The sequence below is a fragment of the Homo sapiens genome, chromosome 9 (genome assembly GCF_000001405.40).
Source record: "Homo sapiens chromosome 9, GRCh38.p14 Primary Assembly".
NCBI classification, from domain to species: Eukaryota; Metazoa; Chordata; class Mammalia; order Primates; family Hominidae; genus Homo; species Homo sapiens.
In genome coordinates, this window is record NC_000009.12 from 128489966 (window position 1) to 128504135 (window position 14170).

At 47.9% G+C, this 14170-nt stretch overlaps 1 protein-coding gene across 23 annotated transcripts in view, besides 2 other annotated features; it reads left to right on the forward strand.

Moving 5' to 3' along the window:
- ODF2 (outer dense fiber of sperm tails 2) overlaps positions 1–11327 on the forward strand; it is a 46108-nt gene extending 34781 nt beyond the window's left edge. For 13 of the 23 annotated variants that reach the window (NM_001351584.2, NM_001351578.2, NM_153435.1 and 10 more), the window contains 7 exon segments: positions 2461–2571; positions 2736–2840; positions 4545–4703; positions 6076–6176; positions 8448–8610; positions 9036–9161; positions 10102–11327. In NM_001351584.2, coding sequence (NP_001338513.1) covers positions 2461–2571; positions 2736–2840; positions 4545–4703; positions 6076–6176; positions 8448–8610; positions 9036–9161; positions 10102–10290 — 954 coding nt within the window. In that variant the 3' untranslated portion in view covers positions 10291–11327. 23 annotated transcript variants of the gene reach the window in all.
- Positions 4821–5321: an enhancer, noted in NCBI's record as "H3K4me1 hESC enhancer chr9:131257065-131257565 (GRCh37/hg19 assembly coordinates)". NCBI's record gives its function as "activates a minimal SCP1, AML or CMV promoter by ChIP-STARR-seq in primed H9 embryonic stem cells {active_cell/tissue: H9 hESC(primed)}" and the evidence as "EXISTENCE:reporter gene assay evidence [ECO:0000049][PMID:30033119]".
- Positions 5865–6159: an enhancer, noted in NCBI's record as "tiled region #9551; HepG2 Activating DNase unmatched - State 12:CtcfO, and K562 Activating non-DNase unmatched - State 17:Gen3'". NCBI's record gives its function as "activates a minimal TATA promoter and a strong SV40 promoter by Sharpr-MPRA in HepG2 and K562 cells {active_cell/tissue: HepG2 | K562}" and the evidence as "EXISTENCE:reporter gene assay evidence [ECO:0000049][PMID:27701403]".

Genomic DNA, 14170 nt, shown 5'->3' on the forward strand with positions numbered 1-14170 from the left:
TTAGCTACTCCGGTGGGAGTGTAGTAGTATCTCATTTGTATAGTGTAATTGTCGGATAAGTTAAAAATAACATGCACGTCTTAACAGTTATTTAGGAGGCCAGCCATGGTGGCTCACACCTGTAATCTCAATGTGAGAGGACTGCTTGAGGCCAGGACTTCTAGACCAGCCTGGGCAACCCCAGCAAGACCCCATCTCTACAAAAAAATTTTAAAAGCCAACAACTATTTAGGGGATTAGTTATAGTATGGTGCATCTGTATAGTGTATTACAGTGTGGTCATTCAAAATGATGTTTGTAGAAGTATATTTTCCTAGTCTAATTTTTTTTTTTTTGAGACAGAGTCTTGCTCTGTTGCCCAGGCTGGAGTGAAGTGGCATGATCTCAGCTCACTGCAACTTCCACCTCCCAGGATCAAGTGATTCTCCTGCCTCAGCCTCCCAAGTAGCTGGGATTACAGGCATCCACCACCATGCCCCGCTAATTTTTTGTATTTTTAGTAAGAGACAGGGTTTTACCACGTTGGCCAGGCTGGTCTCGAACTTCTGACCTCAGGTGATCAACCTGCCATGGCTTCCCAAAGTGTTGGGTTTATAGGTGTGAGCCACCACGCCTGGCCTTTCCTAGTATAATTATAAAAGTTAAATATGCTCATAGTAAAAATTCAAAACATTACAGAAATGTGATGTAGACATGAAGATCTTCGCTAGCCATGAACATATATTTTTCTAGATTATCCCCCAGTACTAACATATCAAGCACACACACATCCACTCATCCATCCATTATTCTGTCACTTGCTTTTCTGATTTAACTATATTTACGGACATCTGTTAAGGTTGGTTTTTTGAGCTTTATCTCTCTTTTAAGTGACTACTAGTTACTTTATTCATTTGATACACCATGATTTATATTGTCCCATTTAAGATGAATAATTGGGTTATAGGAAGACATTTATTTATTTATTTATTTATTTTTAAAATTTCCCACCTGCATTATAAGTTGAGAGGACATTCATTGACTTGAGAGAAGTTCACAACATAATTTTTTTTTTTAAATATATTTTTGGTAGAGATGGCGTTTTACCATGTTGGCCAGGCTGATCTCAAACTCCAGACCTCCAGGCTGGAGTGCAGTGGTGCAATCTCAGCTCGCTGCAACCTCCACCTCCCAGGTTCAAGTGATTCTTCTGCCTCAGCCTCCCAAGTAGCTGGGACTACAGGCACATGCCAGCACGTCCGGCTGATTTTTGTATTTTTAGTAGAGATGAGGTTTCACCATATTGGCCAGGCTGGTCTCGAACTCCTGACCTCGTGGTCTGCCCACCTTGGCCTCCCAAAGTGCTGGGATTACAGGTGTGAGCCACCACATCCGGCCCACAACATATTGTTAATTTTAAAAGTGTGTTACAGCTAGATGTGGTGGCTCACGCCTATAATCCCAGCACTTTGGGAGGCCGAGGTGGGCGGATCACTTGAGGTCTGGAGTTTGAGATCAGCCTGGCCAACATGGTAAAACCCCATCTCTACCAAAAATATAAAAAATTAGCCGGAGTGGGGGTGGTGGTGTGTCCCTGTAATCCCAGCTACTCTGGAGGCTGAGGCAGGAGAATAGCTTGAACCTGGGAGGTGGAGGTTGCATTGAGCCAAGGTTGTGCCTTTGCACTCCAGCCTGGGTGACAGAGCGAGACTCCATCTCAAAAAAAAATAAACAAATAAAAAGTATGTTACATACAACCTGGCAGATCCCATGGTGGGGAAAAACTATGTTACATAGCAGTAAGTATAGTATAGTCTCATTCTTTTTGACAGAAACGAAAAAGTTATGCAGCTATAGATATATAGCCATATCCAAGTCATTAAGCATTAGGATTAGTGTGTCTTGGTTTTATCCCCATTTTCTTTTTTTTTTTTTTTTTTGAGACGGAGTCTTGCTCTGTCGCCCAGGCTGGAGTGCAGGGGCACGATCTCACCTTACTGCAAGCTCCGCTTTCGGGTTCATGCCATCCTCCTGCCTCAGCCTCCCGAGTAGCTGGGACTACAGGCGCCCGCCACCACGCCCGGCTAATTTTTTGTACCTTTAGTAGAGACAGGATTTCACTGTGTTAGCCAGGATGGTCTTGATCTCCTAACCTTGTGATCCGCCCACCTCGGCCTCCCAAAGTGCTGGGATTATAGGCGTGAGCCACCGCGCCCGGCCTGGTTTTATCCCCATTTTCTTTAATGATTATATATTGCTTTTGGATTAAGAAAAAACAGAAGTCATTTATTTGCATCTCTATTCACTTGAGGTGGTAACATTAGGAGTCTTACCTGCTTCTCGGTGCTTCTCTCAGGGAAAGTGCTCTGTGGGTTAGAGTAGGGGGCCTTTCCTTTTCTGGTTCTTTGGATAGAGTTGAGGGTAGGAGGTCCACCTGAAGCAGAACCTTCCTGTGGGTTACTCATGAGCCATCCCTTCCAGGCCAGCTTTGCTCCAATGGAGGACAAACTCAACCAGGCACACCTCGAGGTCCAGCAGCTGAAGGCCTCAGTGAAGAACTATGAGGGGATGATTGACAACTATAAGAGTCAGGTAGGCCTCACTGGGGCCCTGGCCCTTCTGAGCAGTGCCCTCCCTGCCCCCATCAGACTGGGGGCTCCCTACCAGGCCACTCCCAGGGAGGGTTGGGTATGGAAGATGGTTTTCATCAAAACGTGGCTCTACCTAAGATGAACCACAGTGTTGTTGGTCCCTAGGTGATGAAGACCAGATTGGAGGCTGATGAAGTAGCTGCCCAGCTAGAACGCTGTGACAAAGAGAACAAGATCCTTAAAGATGAGATGAACAAAGAGATTGAGGCGGTACTGCTTTCCTTCCTTGTTTTCTTCTCCTACCCAATTCCATATCTAACTCAATGACTGTGAGTCTGTTCCCCTTGTTTGCCTTTGACCCTACCTGATTTGGGCAACAAAGGTGAGCTCATTTTCTCATTGGTGGGCTCATCCACTCTACCCTGTGCCTCTCTCTCCTTTGTCTCTTTCTTGTTTCCTCTCTTCTCTCTCTCATGCTGCTGCTTTGTCTTTTTTTTTTTTTTCTCTTGGTTTTCTTCTACCTCCTTTTCAATTTTCTTAAAATAACAACAACAAAAAAACTCTCCTGGCTGGGCACGGTCTCTCACACCTGTAATCCCAGCACTTTGGGAGACTGAGGCAGGCAGGTCAACTGAGGTTGGGAGTTCAAGACCAGCCTGACCAACATGGTGAAACCCCTGTCTCTACTAAAAATACAAAATTAGCCGGGTCTGGTGGCGCATGCCTGTAATCCCAGCTACTCGGAAGGCTGAGGCAGGAGAATCGCTTGAACCCAGGAGGTGGAGGTAGCAGTGAGCCGTCATTGTGCCACTACGCTCTAGCCTGGGCAACAAGAGTAAATACTCTGTCTCAAAACAAACAAACAAACAAACAAAAAACCTCATGCTTGGAGCATCCAAGTAGACAGAAATCTACAGTTATGCCAGGTCTTTGGCATGCCTATTTCATTCTATATGGTGTCCTTATTTTGTACCAGCCAGAAAATATGTCTCCCATCCTCTTCCCAAAGAGCCTTATTCTTCTACAGATGGTTTGGCTGATTAGAGCAGCGGGATTATCTTAATGGTTACCTTGGAGATGGGCTGAGTCCAGGCTCAGCCACTAATTTGTTTCATAACCTTGGGCAAGTCAAGCCCCTCTCTGGTCCTCAGTCTCCGTGTTAAGTACAAGGATGGACTTAGACCAGATATTTCTCCCTTTCCCTCTGACCTGTAGCATTGTGACTGCTTTCCTAGGGGCTTTAGAGTTAGACTTTTAAAATTTATTTTATTTTTTTTGAGACAGAGTCTTGCTGTGTCACCCAGGCTGGAGTGCAGTGGTGTGATCTCAGCTCACTGCAACCTCCACCTCCCGGGTTCAAGTGATTCTCCTGCCTCAGCGTCCCAAGTAGCTGGGACTACAGGCGTGTGCCACCATTCCCAGCTAATTTTTGTATTTTTAGTAGAGACAGGGTTTCACCTTGTTGGCCAGGGTGGTGTCGAACTCCTGACCTCAAATAATCTGCGCCCCTTGGCTTTCCAGAGTGCTAGATTACAGGTGTGAGCCACTGCACCTGGCTTGGAGTTAGACTAGACTTTAATCCTGTGTTTACCAGTTTTTAGCTGAATGACCTTGGGCAAATGACTTAGCTCTCTTGATGCTTACTATACTTGTATGGGGACAGCATCACCTATTTTACAGGTTGTCTGAATTAAATGAGCAAGTGTGCAGAGAGCCCCTGGTACAATGCCTGGGTCTTGGTGTTTACTGTGTGGTTGCCATTGTTACGGGATAACTAAATGAATGGCAAGCCACCTGCTCAATGGCCAGCGGGGAGTGTAGGCCACACTTCTGCTGTGGATTTTGCAGGATCCTCCACTGGGGACTGTGTCAGCCCTGCCCTAACTCTAAAGGACTCTGCCTGGCTCCACTAGGAGCCAGGTCTTTCCTAACTGTGGGTCTTTCCTTCCTGTGGGTCTTTCCTTCCTGTTTCAGGCACGAAGGCAGTTCCAGTCTCAGCTGGCTGACCTGCAGCAGCTCCCTGACATCCTGAAGATCACGGAGGCGAAGCTGGCTGAGTGCCAAGACCAACTGCAGGGCTATGAGCGGAAGAACATCGACCTCACAGCCATCATATCAGACCTGCGCAGCCGGGTAAGGGACTGGCAGAAAGGGTCCCACGAACTGACCCGAGCAGGGGCCCGCATACCAAGATGAGCTGCACGCCCCCCAAGGGAGGACTACTTCCTTTTTCTTGGCTGCTGCTTTTTAAAAGGAGTGAGCTATCATCAGTGCTGTGAAATAAAAGTCTGGTGTGCCAAATGCCATGTGTTTGCACAAAGTGATTGTAGTTATAGGAGCCGTCACTTGCGTGGAGTCACTGGGCCCTCCTGCTGTTGCCCCCACCCAAGACTGCTGCCTCTGCCTGTGTGCTCCGCAGCTGTCCTCAGCTCCACACCCACAGCTGGGAGATGCCAGCAGACACCGAGCCGTAGAATTTCTTTTTTTCTCTTGCTTTAGCTGCTTCTCCTGACTCTTTAACAGATGCACTGCCTGAGATTCTGTCCTGAAAGAAGCAAGCATCCCTTTCTCCCAGAAGCAGTCTGTCTCTGGGTTACTGGAACCATGCCTACGGCCTGCAGTGTCCAAGAAATTATATACCACTCATTTGCAGCGTGACCTTGGGCAAGGCCCCTTTCCCACTCTTGACGTGTGTACTTGTGATAATTAGAAAAGGGGCTACCATTTTTTGAGCACCTCTTCTGTGTTCCTGCATTCTCTCATTTAATTCCATCAGGAACTCTGTGAGGTGCATGTGTTATTTTCCCCATTTTACAGAAAGCAGCCCAAGGCATAGAGAGGAGAAGTAATTCCCCACCATCACAGAGCTAGTACCTAGTAAGCAGGGATTGGAACCCAGCCAGCTCTGTCTGGTTCCCAAGCCCACATTCTCAGTACTGTAACCTTACATTGCCTGCCTTCTCCGTTGAACCTGAGCATTCTCAGGGACTTTGAGCCTTGATAGCTGAGGCTTCTGCATAAAACAGCCCTCTGGGTAAATTCTCAAACTTGCCAACTCAAAAGGATTGACAGATTTCCTGTTGTCTTGCCTGCACTTGTCCCCAGTTAAGAGGAGGTTGAGATCAATAGTACCAGCAACATAACAGGTAAAGCTCTGTGGTTGGTTTGTATGGGCCAGTTAGCCCTGCCAGCTGTTTCTGCCTTCTCATGTCTGTCCTGGATCCTAGCTGGGTCTCTCTGAGTGGCCTCCCCTGATCGAGAAAGCATCTTTGTCATTCTTTAGCATCAAACCTGGTTTCTCCCAGTGTGGGGAGAGCCTTTTGTCTTTGGAGTTGGGCCTAACCTGTCCCTGCTGTCCTTTCTCCTCTAGGTTGTGCGTTGAGACTTGGACACCTGCTGAGGGCACTGTGCCCCTTTCCTGGGTGTGGACAACAGGTCATAGGGAAAGGGGAGGGCTCTAGCGGGAAATTCCTTTGTAAACCAGTCTGTGTTCCTGTCATTTTAGATCGAACACCAGGGGGACAAGCTGGAGATGGCGAGAGAGAAACATCAGGCTTCCCAGAAGGAAAATAAACAGCTGAGTCTGAAGGTGGATGAACTGGAGAGGTTAGAGGCACTTGGTCCCATCTCTGTCCTCTTCCTAGGACCTGAGACTTTCAGCCACTTAGCTGTTTTTTGCTTAGTGTGCGGAAGTGTTGAGGGACTCGAGGCCCTGGAAGGTACTAGGCAGACCTCAGAGGAAAAGCTGCTTCCATTTCAGTGGTAAGCATTGTGGGAGAGAGCAAGGGGGCCTCTCAGCCTGGGGAGACACTCCATGACAGCATGATCAGGATCTGCCCACCTGTAGGCACCACCTGTCCCAAAAGGCATGCCTGGTCCAGGCCTGCCAGGAGGGCCCAGTTTGAATGGAGCAGCCAGTATACTGTGGTGGGGGCACTTCCCCACTCTTTTCTGCCCTTTCTTGCCAGTCACCCTTCCCAAGACCTTTCTGATCTGACCGTTCTCTGTTATTTACGGATTGTTGGAGGCAGTCAGAGGTGAAGGGTACGGCTTTGGGAATCAGAAGCCCTGGCCTTGGGGCCCAGCTCTGCCACTTACCAGCATTGTGATCTTGAGCAAATCATTTAATTCCTTTGAAGCTCAATTTCCTCCTTTTGAGGAAAGGGTCAAGGTAGAGTTTATCTATCTATCTATCTATCTATCTATCATCTATCTATCATGTCACTCTGTCACCCAGGCTGGAGTGCAGTGGTGCAATCTCAGCTCACTGCAACCTCGACCTCCTGGGCTCAAGCAATTCTCCTGCCACAGCCTCCCAAGTAGCTGGGACTACAGGCGTATGCCACCATGCCTGGCTAATTTTTGTATTTTTTGTAGAGATGGGGTTTCGCCGTGTTGCCCAGGCTGGTCCTGAACTCCTGGGTTCAAGTGATCCACCCACCTAGGCCTCCTAGAGTGCTGGGAGTACAGGCGGGAGCCACCACACCTGGCTGATAATAATCTTTTCATGGTGGTGGTGTGAGTCTTCAATGATATAATCCTGGTAAAGGTCCTAGCATGTTACCTGGCATAGAGAAGCGCTCAGTATAGCTTAGAACATGTTATTAGTTAGCTGGTATTATCCCAGTTTTAAATATGAGGAAACTGAGCTTGGGGAGGAGTTAAGTGACTTTCCCAGCATCACACTGTTGGTACCTGGCAAAGCATGACTTAGACCCGTGACTGTCTTCCTCGAGAGCTTCTGTGAGCATCTCTAAGAGGTAGGCAAGAGGCCGGGCGTGGTGTCTCACGCCTGTAATCCCAGCGTTTTGGGAGGCCGAGGCGGGCGGATCACGAGGTCAGGAGATCGAGGCCATCCTGGCTAACACGGTGAAATCCCGTCTCTACTAAAAAAAAAAAAAAAAAAAAAAAATATATATATATATATATATATATATATATATATATATATGTATAAAATTAGCCGGGCGCAGTGGCGGGCGCCTGTAGTCCCAGCTACTCGGAAGGCTGAGGCAGGAGAATGGCGTGAACCCGGGAGGCGGAGCTTGCATTGAGCCGAGATAGCACCACTGCACTCCAGCCTGGGCGAAAGAGCAAGACTCCATCTCAAAAAAAAAGAGGTGGGCAAGAGTCCTCCAGCCCTGGTCCCAGCCTTAGTTTCAGAGGTGAAGGTGCCTGACATCCTAGGAGGCCCTAAGTGCCTCAGGTGGCCAGTGCACTTGCAAGGAGGCTACAACCAAGTGGGCTCCTTCCAGGCTCCACCTCTGCTCTGCCCTGCCAGCCTTGGAAATGGCAGCTAGATCCCCCAGGCCCTGCAGAGCTCCTTAAATTGGAAGGCATCCTGGAAGTGCACTGAGGACAGTGTGTGTATATCGGGATGGCCATATTTGCCCTATGGCTGGTCACACAAGATGTTGAGTGGTGTAGCTGAAGTCCCTTTGCTGTGGGAGGCAGCAGTGAACAGCAGAAGTTGCAGGCTTAGGTTTTGGTTACAGACTTGCCAGCTGTGCTGACTTCAGGCCAATGAATTCCCCTCTCTGAGGCTCAGTTTCTTCATTTCTGAAGTGGGGATAATAATGGTACCATTTTTCTGAGCTGCAAGTTGCTGTGTTCCATGTGATGCTATCCACACTTAACAAAGCCCACGGTCAGTCTCTGCGTTCCCACCCTTCACTCTGTTCTCTAACCAGTTGCTCCAGCTGCACAGTTCTTTGGTCGCCTTGCTGATCTGCAGATTTCTTTGGCTTATTCCTGTGGCTCCTTGGAGATTCTTGGCATGATGAGATCCCCAGTCCAGGAGAGGCTGGCAGCCCCCTGGCGGGGTGGAACATGACAGGTTGGGGTATGCCCAGGATCTGATTGAGTGCTTTCACCTAGGAAACTGGAGGCGACCAGTGCCCAGAATATCGAGTTCCTACAGGTGATTGCCAAGAGGGAGGAGGCAATCCACCAGTCCCAGCTGCGGCTGGAGGAGAAAACACGGGAATGTGGGACCCTGGCAAGGCAGTTGGAGAGTGCCATTGAAGATGCGAGGAGGCAGGTCAGTCCCGATTTCATGAATGACTAGCTCTGTGACCTTGGGCAAATCACCTAAACTCTCAGCTTATTTCTCCATCTGAAAAATGGGCACACAGTAGTACCCGCTTCATGAATTAGTTGTAAGGATCACATTTTCATCGTAGAGGGCTCAGCACTTGATATCTGATGATTGCTCATTTACTCACTACCCTCTTGAGCCTCACATAGGCTTACCACATCTTAGGTGGTGACTCCTGGAGCACTGGCAAAGCTGGGTGGCAGGCATAGTCCCCATAGTTAGTTCCTGCCCCAGCGTTCTAGAGAACACAGTCCACAATGATGTGCAAGTGCTGTCTGCAAGACCAGATAGTGGGCCCAGCCTTCTCTTTGCCAAGTGTTCCCCATGTCCGGTAAACCAGTCTCATGTCTGGGCCTTTGAATGTGCAGGTGGAACAAACCAAGGAGCACGCACTCTCCAAGGAGCGAGCAGCCCAGAACAAAATCCTGGACCTTGAGACCCAGCTGAGCAGAACCAAAACGGAATTGAGCCAGCTGCGGCGGAGCCGTGATGATGTGAGTCAGGCTGGTGGGCCGGGCTAGGAGAGTGGGCAGCAGACCTAGCTTCTGTGGGGCCTGTGGGCCAAGGTGTTTTGTTGTTACTGTTTTTGTGAATATGACATGGTTTTATTTTTCTCCAATCACTTTCTATCCCTTAAGGATATCCTGGGTAGATATTTATTTATTTATTTAGAGACGGAGTCTCCCTGTGTCACCCAGGCTGGAATGCAGTGGTACGATCTCAGCTCACTGCAACCTCTGCCTCCTGGTTTCATATGATCCCCACCCCACCCTCAGCCTCCCAAGTAGCTGGGATTACAAGTATGTGCCACCATCCCTGGCTACTTTTTTGTGTGTATTTTTAGTAGAGATGGGGTTTCGCCATGTTGGCCAGGCTGGTCTTCAACTCGTGATCTCAAATGATCTGCCCATCATGGCCTCCCAAAGTGCTGGGATTACAGGTGTGAGCCACTGCACCCAGACTCACGTTTTGTTTTGTTTTGTTTTGTTTTGTTTTAGACAGAGTTTCATTCTGTCACCCAGGCTACAGTGCAGTGGTGCTGTCATAGCTCACTGCAGCTTCAAACTCCTGGGGTCAAGTAGTCCTCCCACCCCAGCCTCCTGAGCAGCTAGGACTACAGGCGCACACCATCACACCCAGCTAATTTTTGTATTTTTTGTAGAGATAGAGTCTCACTATGTTGCCCATGCTGGTCTTGAACTCCTAGGCTCCAGTGATCATTCCGTCCTGACCTCCCGAAGTGTTGGGATTATAGGCATGAGCCACTGTGCCTGGTCTTAGAATATTTTCAGAAAGAAACCCCATACCCATTAGAAGTCACTCCACACTCGCCTCCCCAAACCTCCTGGCAACTCCTAAGAAAGTCCCTATGTCTCTATGGATTTCTATTTTGGACACTGCACAGCGGGCCCATGCTCTGTTTCTCCTCGTTAGGCGGACCGCCGCTACCAGAGCCGGCTGCAAGACCTGAAAGATCGCCTGGAGCAGTCCGAGAGCACCAACCGCAGCATGCAGAACTACGTCCAGTTCCTCAAATCATCATACGCCAACGTGTTTGGGGATGGTCCCTATTCCACCTTCCTGACTAGCTCTCCCATCCGCTCCCGATCTCCTCCTGCCTGAGGCCACTTATCAGGGCCTGGAGCCCTGATGGAAGCCATAGGAACTCCAGAGTTGCCAAGCCATAGCTGAGAAGCCTGGTGGTTTTCCTCTCCCAGTGAAAAAATGGGTTCAGGGTCTTGTCCTTAGCTACTAGCTCTAGAAAAGTCCCAAAAGCAGCAGAAGGTGAAGCAGGAAGCACTTGGTTTTCTCCTTCCTGATATAGTCACCTGTTGGAAGTGTTAAAATTTCCTCGACAGGCCTTAAATTTACTACTACATTAGGGTACCACATTTTAACTTACCATGACTTTGCTCCTTCCTTTCCTGAGAAAATATTTCCACTGGATTTTTTCCACCAGTCCCCTTACAGCCCTCATTGTTTTAGGAATCTCTCTCAGGTTTTTTCTGACCTAAACCAGCAGGAAGTCGTCCTGGGCTGTAAGCACCATCACTTGCTTTTTTTTTTTTTCTGATTTCACAAGTGTGGTGTTTTCCCAAGGCTCCCTTCCCAAGCTCAGTGCAAACCTCTCACTCCCAAGTTTCTTTGAGGCCACTTGCCCCCAAGCACTTCACAATAGACCCTCGAGGGCTTGTGTCCATTTGGCCTTTTACAAGTGTAATGCCAATTTCATTGATTTTTGTTTCTTTTGGCCTGATTTGTATCTCTGGAATGCATTTATTCTTGAAATATTTGTGTGATTTTACAAAAAGCTTTTGTAATCAGTTATTTAAGGCTCCATTTGATGATTTCCTTTACCCAACCAGTCCTCATCCCTCCTCTAAAAAATGATTAAGTAAAATGCTGCAGGACAGCCAGTAGACATTTTTAAAGTACTTGGTGCCTGAAACATCAGGCTTCTCATTTCATTTTAGCTCAGGTTGGTGCTTTCACATTGTAATCAATGAACTGTCAGGAGGGAACAAACTGTAAGAAGGATTGCTTGGTGTTTTAGGGTAGATCACTTTAGCTATTAGGAAGAGGATGGGGTAGTGTACAGTATATATTTTTAAAATGTGAATTGGTTTCTGAATAAGAATCTGGGCCATTTTTGTTCACCATTTTTGTTCGTACTGTGCTAACCTCTGCCCTTCTGATTCTAGCTAGTATTGGCCTGGGTGGTCCAGTCTTCTCACCTCTCAGCCACTCTGACTCAACTCTAGAGAATTTCTTCTCTGTTCTTTTTTCTTCTGGAGACAGGTCTCTGTCACCCACACTGAGTGCAATGGCGGGAACATGGCTCACTGCAGCCTTGACTTCCCTAGCTCAAGCAATCCTCCCACCTCAGCCTCCACAGTAGCTGAGAGCACAAGTGTATGCCACCATGCCCATCTAATTTTATTATTTTTTGTAGAGACAGATCTCACCACATTGCCCAGGTTGGTCTTGAATTCCTGGGCCCAAGTGAACCTCTCATTTTGGCCCCCCAGAGTGCTGGGATTACAGGGGTGAGCCACCACACCCAGCCTTCTCTGTGTTCTTGAATCCACCTAGGCATCTGGATTTCAAAGACCAGAAATCTCTTTTCTCTACCAAATTTTGAGGATATTTATAGTTTCCAGCTTTCAGTTTTTCCAATGAAGGTAATTCCAGCTACCACTGCCAAAAAAACTAAGCCCATTTTCATACTCTTAACGTAAATAGACAAGAACTTATAATAGGTGAAAGACCTTCCCGAGAAAGGACAATTGACAAACTTCCACCAGCATGTATATATATCTGTATAACTCATTATTATTTTTGCCAAACTAGAGAAAACCTCAGTGCAGGGCACTGCTATGTAACTCTGGTGTGAGCAACACCTCTCTTGGAGTCCCTTGCTGGGACTCTGGGGACTCTTCCAACAATTTTTCTTTTTAAAATATTTTTATTACAAGAAGTCCAGGGAATTTTTAAAAACTCAGAAAATGAAAATTGTTCACATTGCTCATACTCCAGAGAGAATTCTTCCTACCTCAAACTGAGATCTCACGAGGTGGTGGACAATGGAAGGGTCAGAAAGTCTGGGGTCCCAGTTAGAGCCGTCTCTGGACAATTGTGACTCATTCTATTTTTATTGAGATATAATTCACATAAAATTCACTCTTTTTATTTTTTTGAAACAGGGTCTCCCTCTGTCATCCAAGCTGGTGAGCAGTGGCACAATGATGGCTCACTACAGCCTCAGCCTCCTGGGTTTAAGCGATCTCCTGCCTCAGCCTTCTGAGTAGCTGGGAGCACAGGTGCATGCCACCATGCCTGGCTAATTTTTGGATTTTTTTTTTTTTTGGTAGAGGCAGGTCTCATCATGTTGTCCAGGTTGGTCTCAAACTCCTGGGCTCAAGCCATCCTCCTACCTTGGCCTCCCAAACTGCTGGGATTACAAGCATGAGCCACCATACCTGGCCTAGAATTCACCCTTTTAAAGTGTAAATATAGGCCAGGCGTGGTCACTCACACCTGTAATCCCAGCACTTTGGGAGGCCGAGGCGGGTGGATCACCTGAGGTCAGGAGTTCGAGACCAGCCTGGCCAACATGGTGAAACCCTGTCTCTACTAAAAATACAAAAATTAGCCGGGAGTGGTGGTGGACGCCTGTAGTCCCAGCTACTTGGTAGGTTGAGGCAGGAGAATCACTTGAACCCAGGAGGTGGAGGTTGCAGTGATCCAAGATCACGCCACTGCACTCCTGCCTGGGCAACACGGCGAGATTCTGTCTCGAAAAGATAAAGTGTATATATAATTCAATGGTTTGTAGTATATTCACCAAGTTGTGTAGCCATCACCATTATCTAATTCTAGACCTAGTTTTTTCTTTTTTCGAAATGGAGTCTCTCTCTGTCACCCAGGCTACAGTGCAGTGGCACCATCTCGGCTCACTGCAGCCTCTGCCTCCAGAGTTCAAGGGATCCTCCTGCATCAGCCTGTGGGGACTATAGGTGCATGGCACTTTGCCTGGCTAATTTTTGTATTTTTTGTAGAGACAGGGTTTTGCCATGTTGCCCAGGCTTGTCTGAAACTCCTGACCTCAGGTGATCTGCCCACCTTGGCCTTCCAAAGTGCTGGGATTACGGCACCCAGCCAACCAATTTCATCACTCCCAAAAAAGAAACGCCATACCCATTAGCAGTCACTCCCCATTCCCCTCCCCCAGCCCCTGGCAACTAGTCATAAAGTTTCTCTGGCTCTATAGATTTGTCTCTTCTGGATATTTCACATAAGTGGAATTGTCCAACATGTGGCCATTCATGACTGGCTTCTCTCAGCATAATGCTTTCAAGATTGATGTTGCAGCGTATCATCAGCACTTTATTTTTATGGCCCCATAACATTCCATTATATAGATGTGGTGTTTCCTCCTGCCAAACAGGGCTGGTTGGGATTCCAAAGAAGCACTATGGCCGGGCGCAGTGGCTCATGCCTGTAATCCCAACGCTTTGGGAGGTCGAGGTGGGTGGATCAACTGAGGTCAGGAGTTCGAGACCAGCCTGACCAACATGGTGAAACCCCGCCTCTGCTAAAAATACAAAATAGCTGGGCGTGGTGGCTGGCGCGTGTAGTCCCAGCTACACGGGGAGCTGAGGCAGGAGAATCGCTTGAACCCGGGAGGCGGAGGTTGCAGTGAGCCGAGATCGAGCCACTGTACTCCAGCCTGGGGGACAGAGCAAGACTCTGTCTCAAAAAAGCAGCATTAAACCCAAAACATTTATTAGGGAAGCTTACAGAGTGGGCTGCAGCAATTCTCGCGACAGACAGAGAGAAGCGGTGTTTCACCTAGGTACATCCCCAGCGAGGGGTCAGGGTATGAAGTTTATATGAGGGTTTATGGAATTTGGCTAAAAGCAGGGGTCAGTTTCAGCGTTTTGGGCAATAACCTAGATATCCTTAGTGCCTAGGGATATGCAAGGCCCGTGTTTGGTTGCAA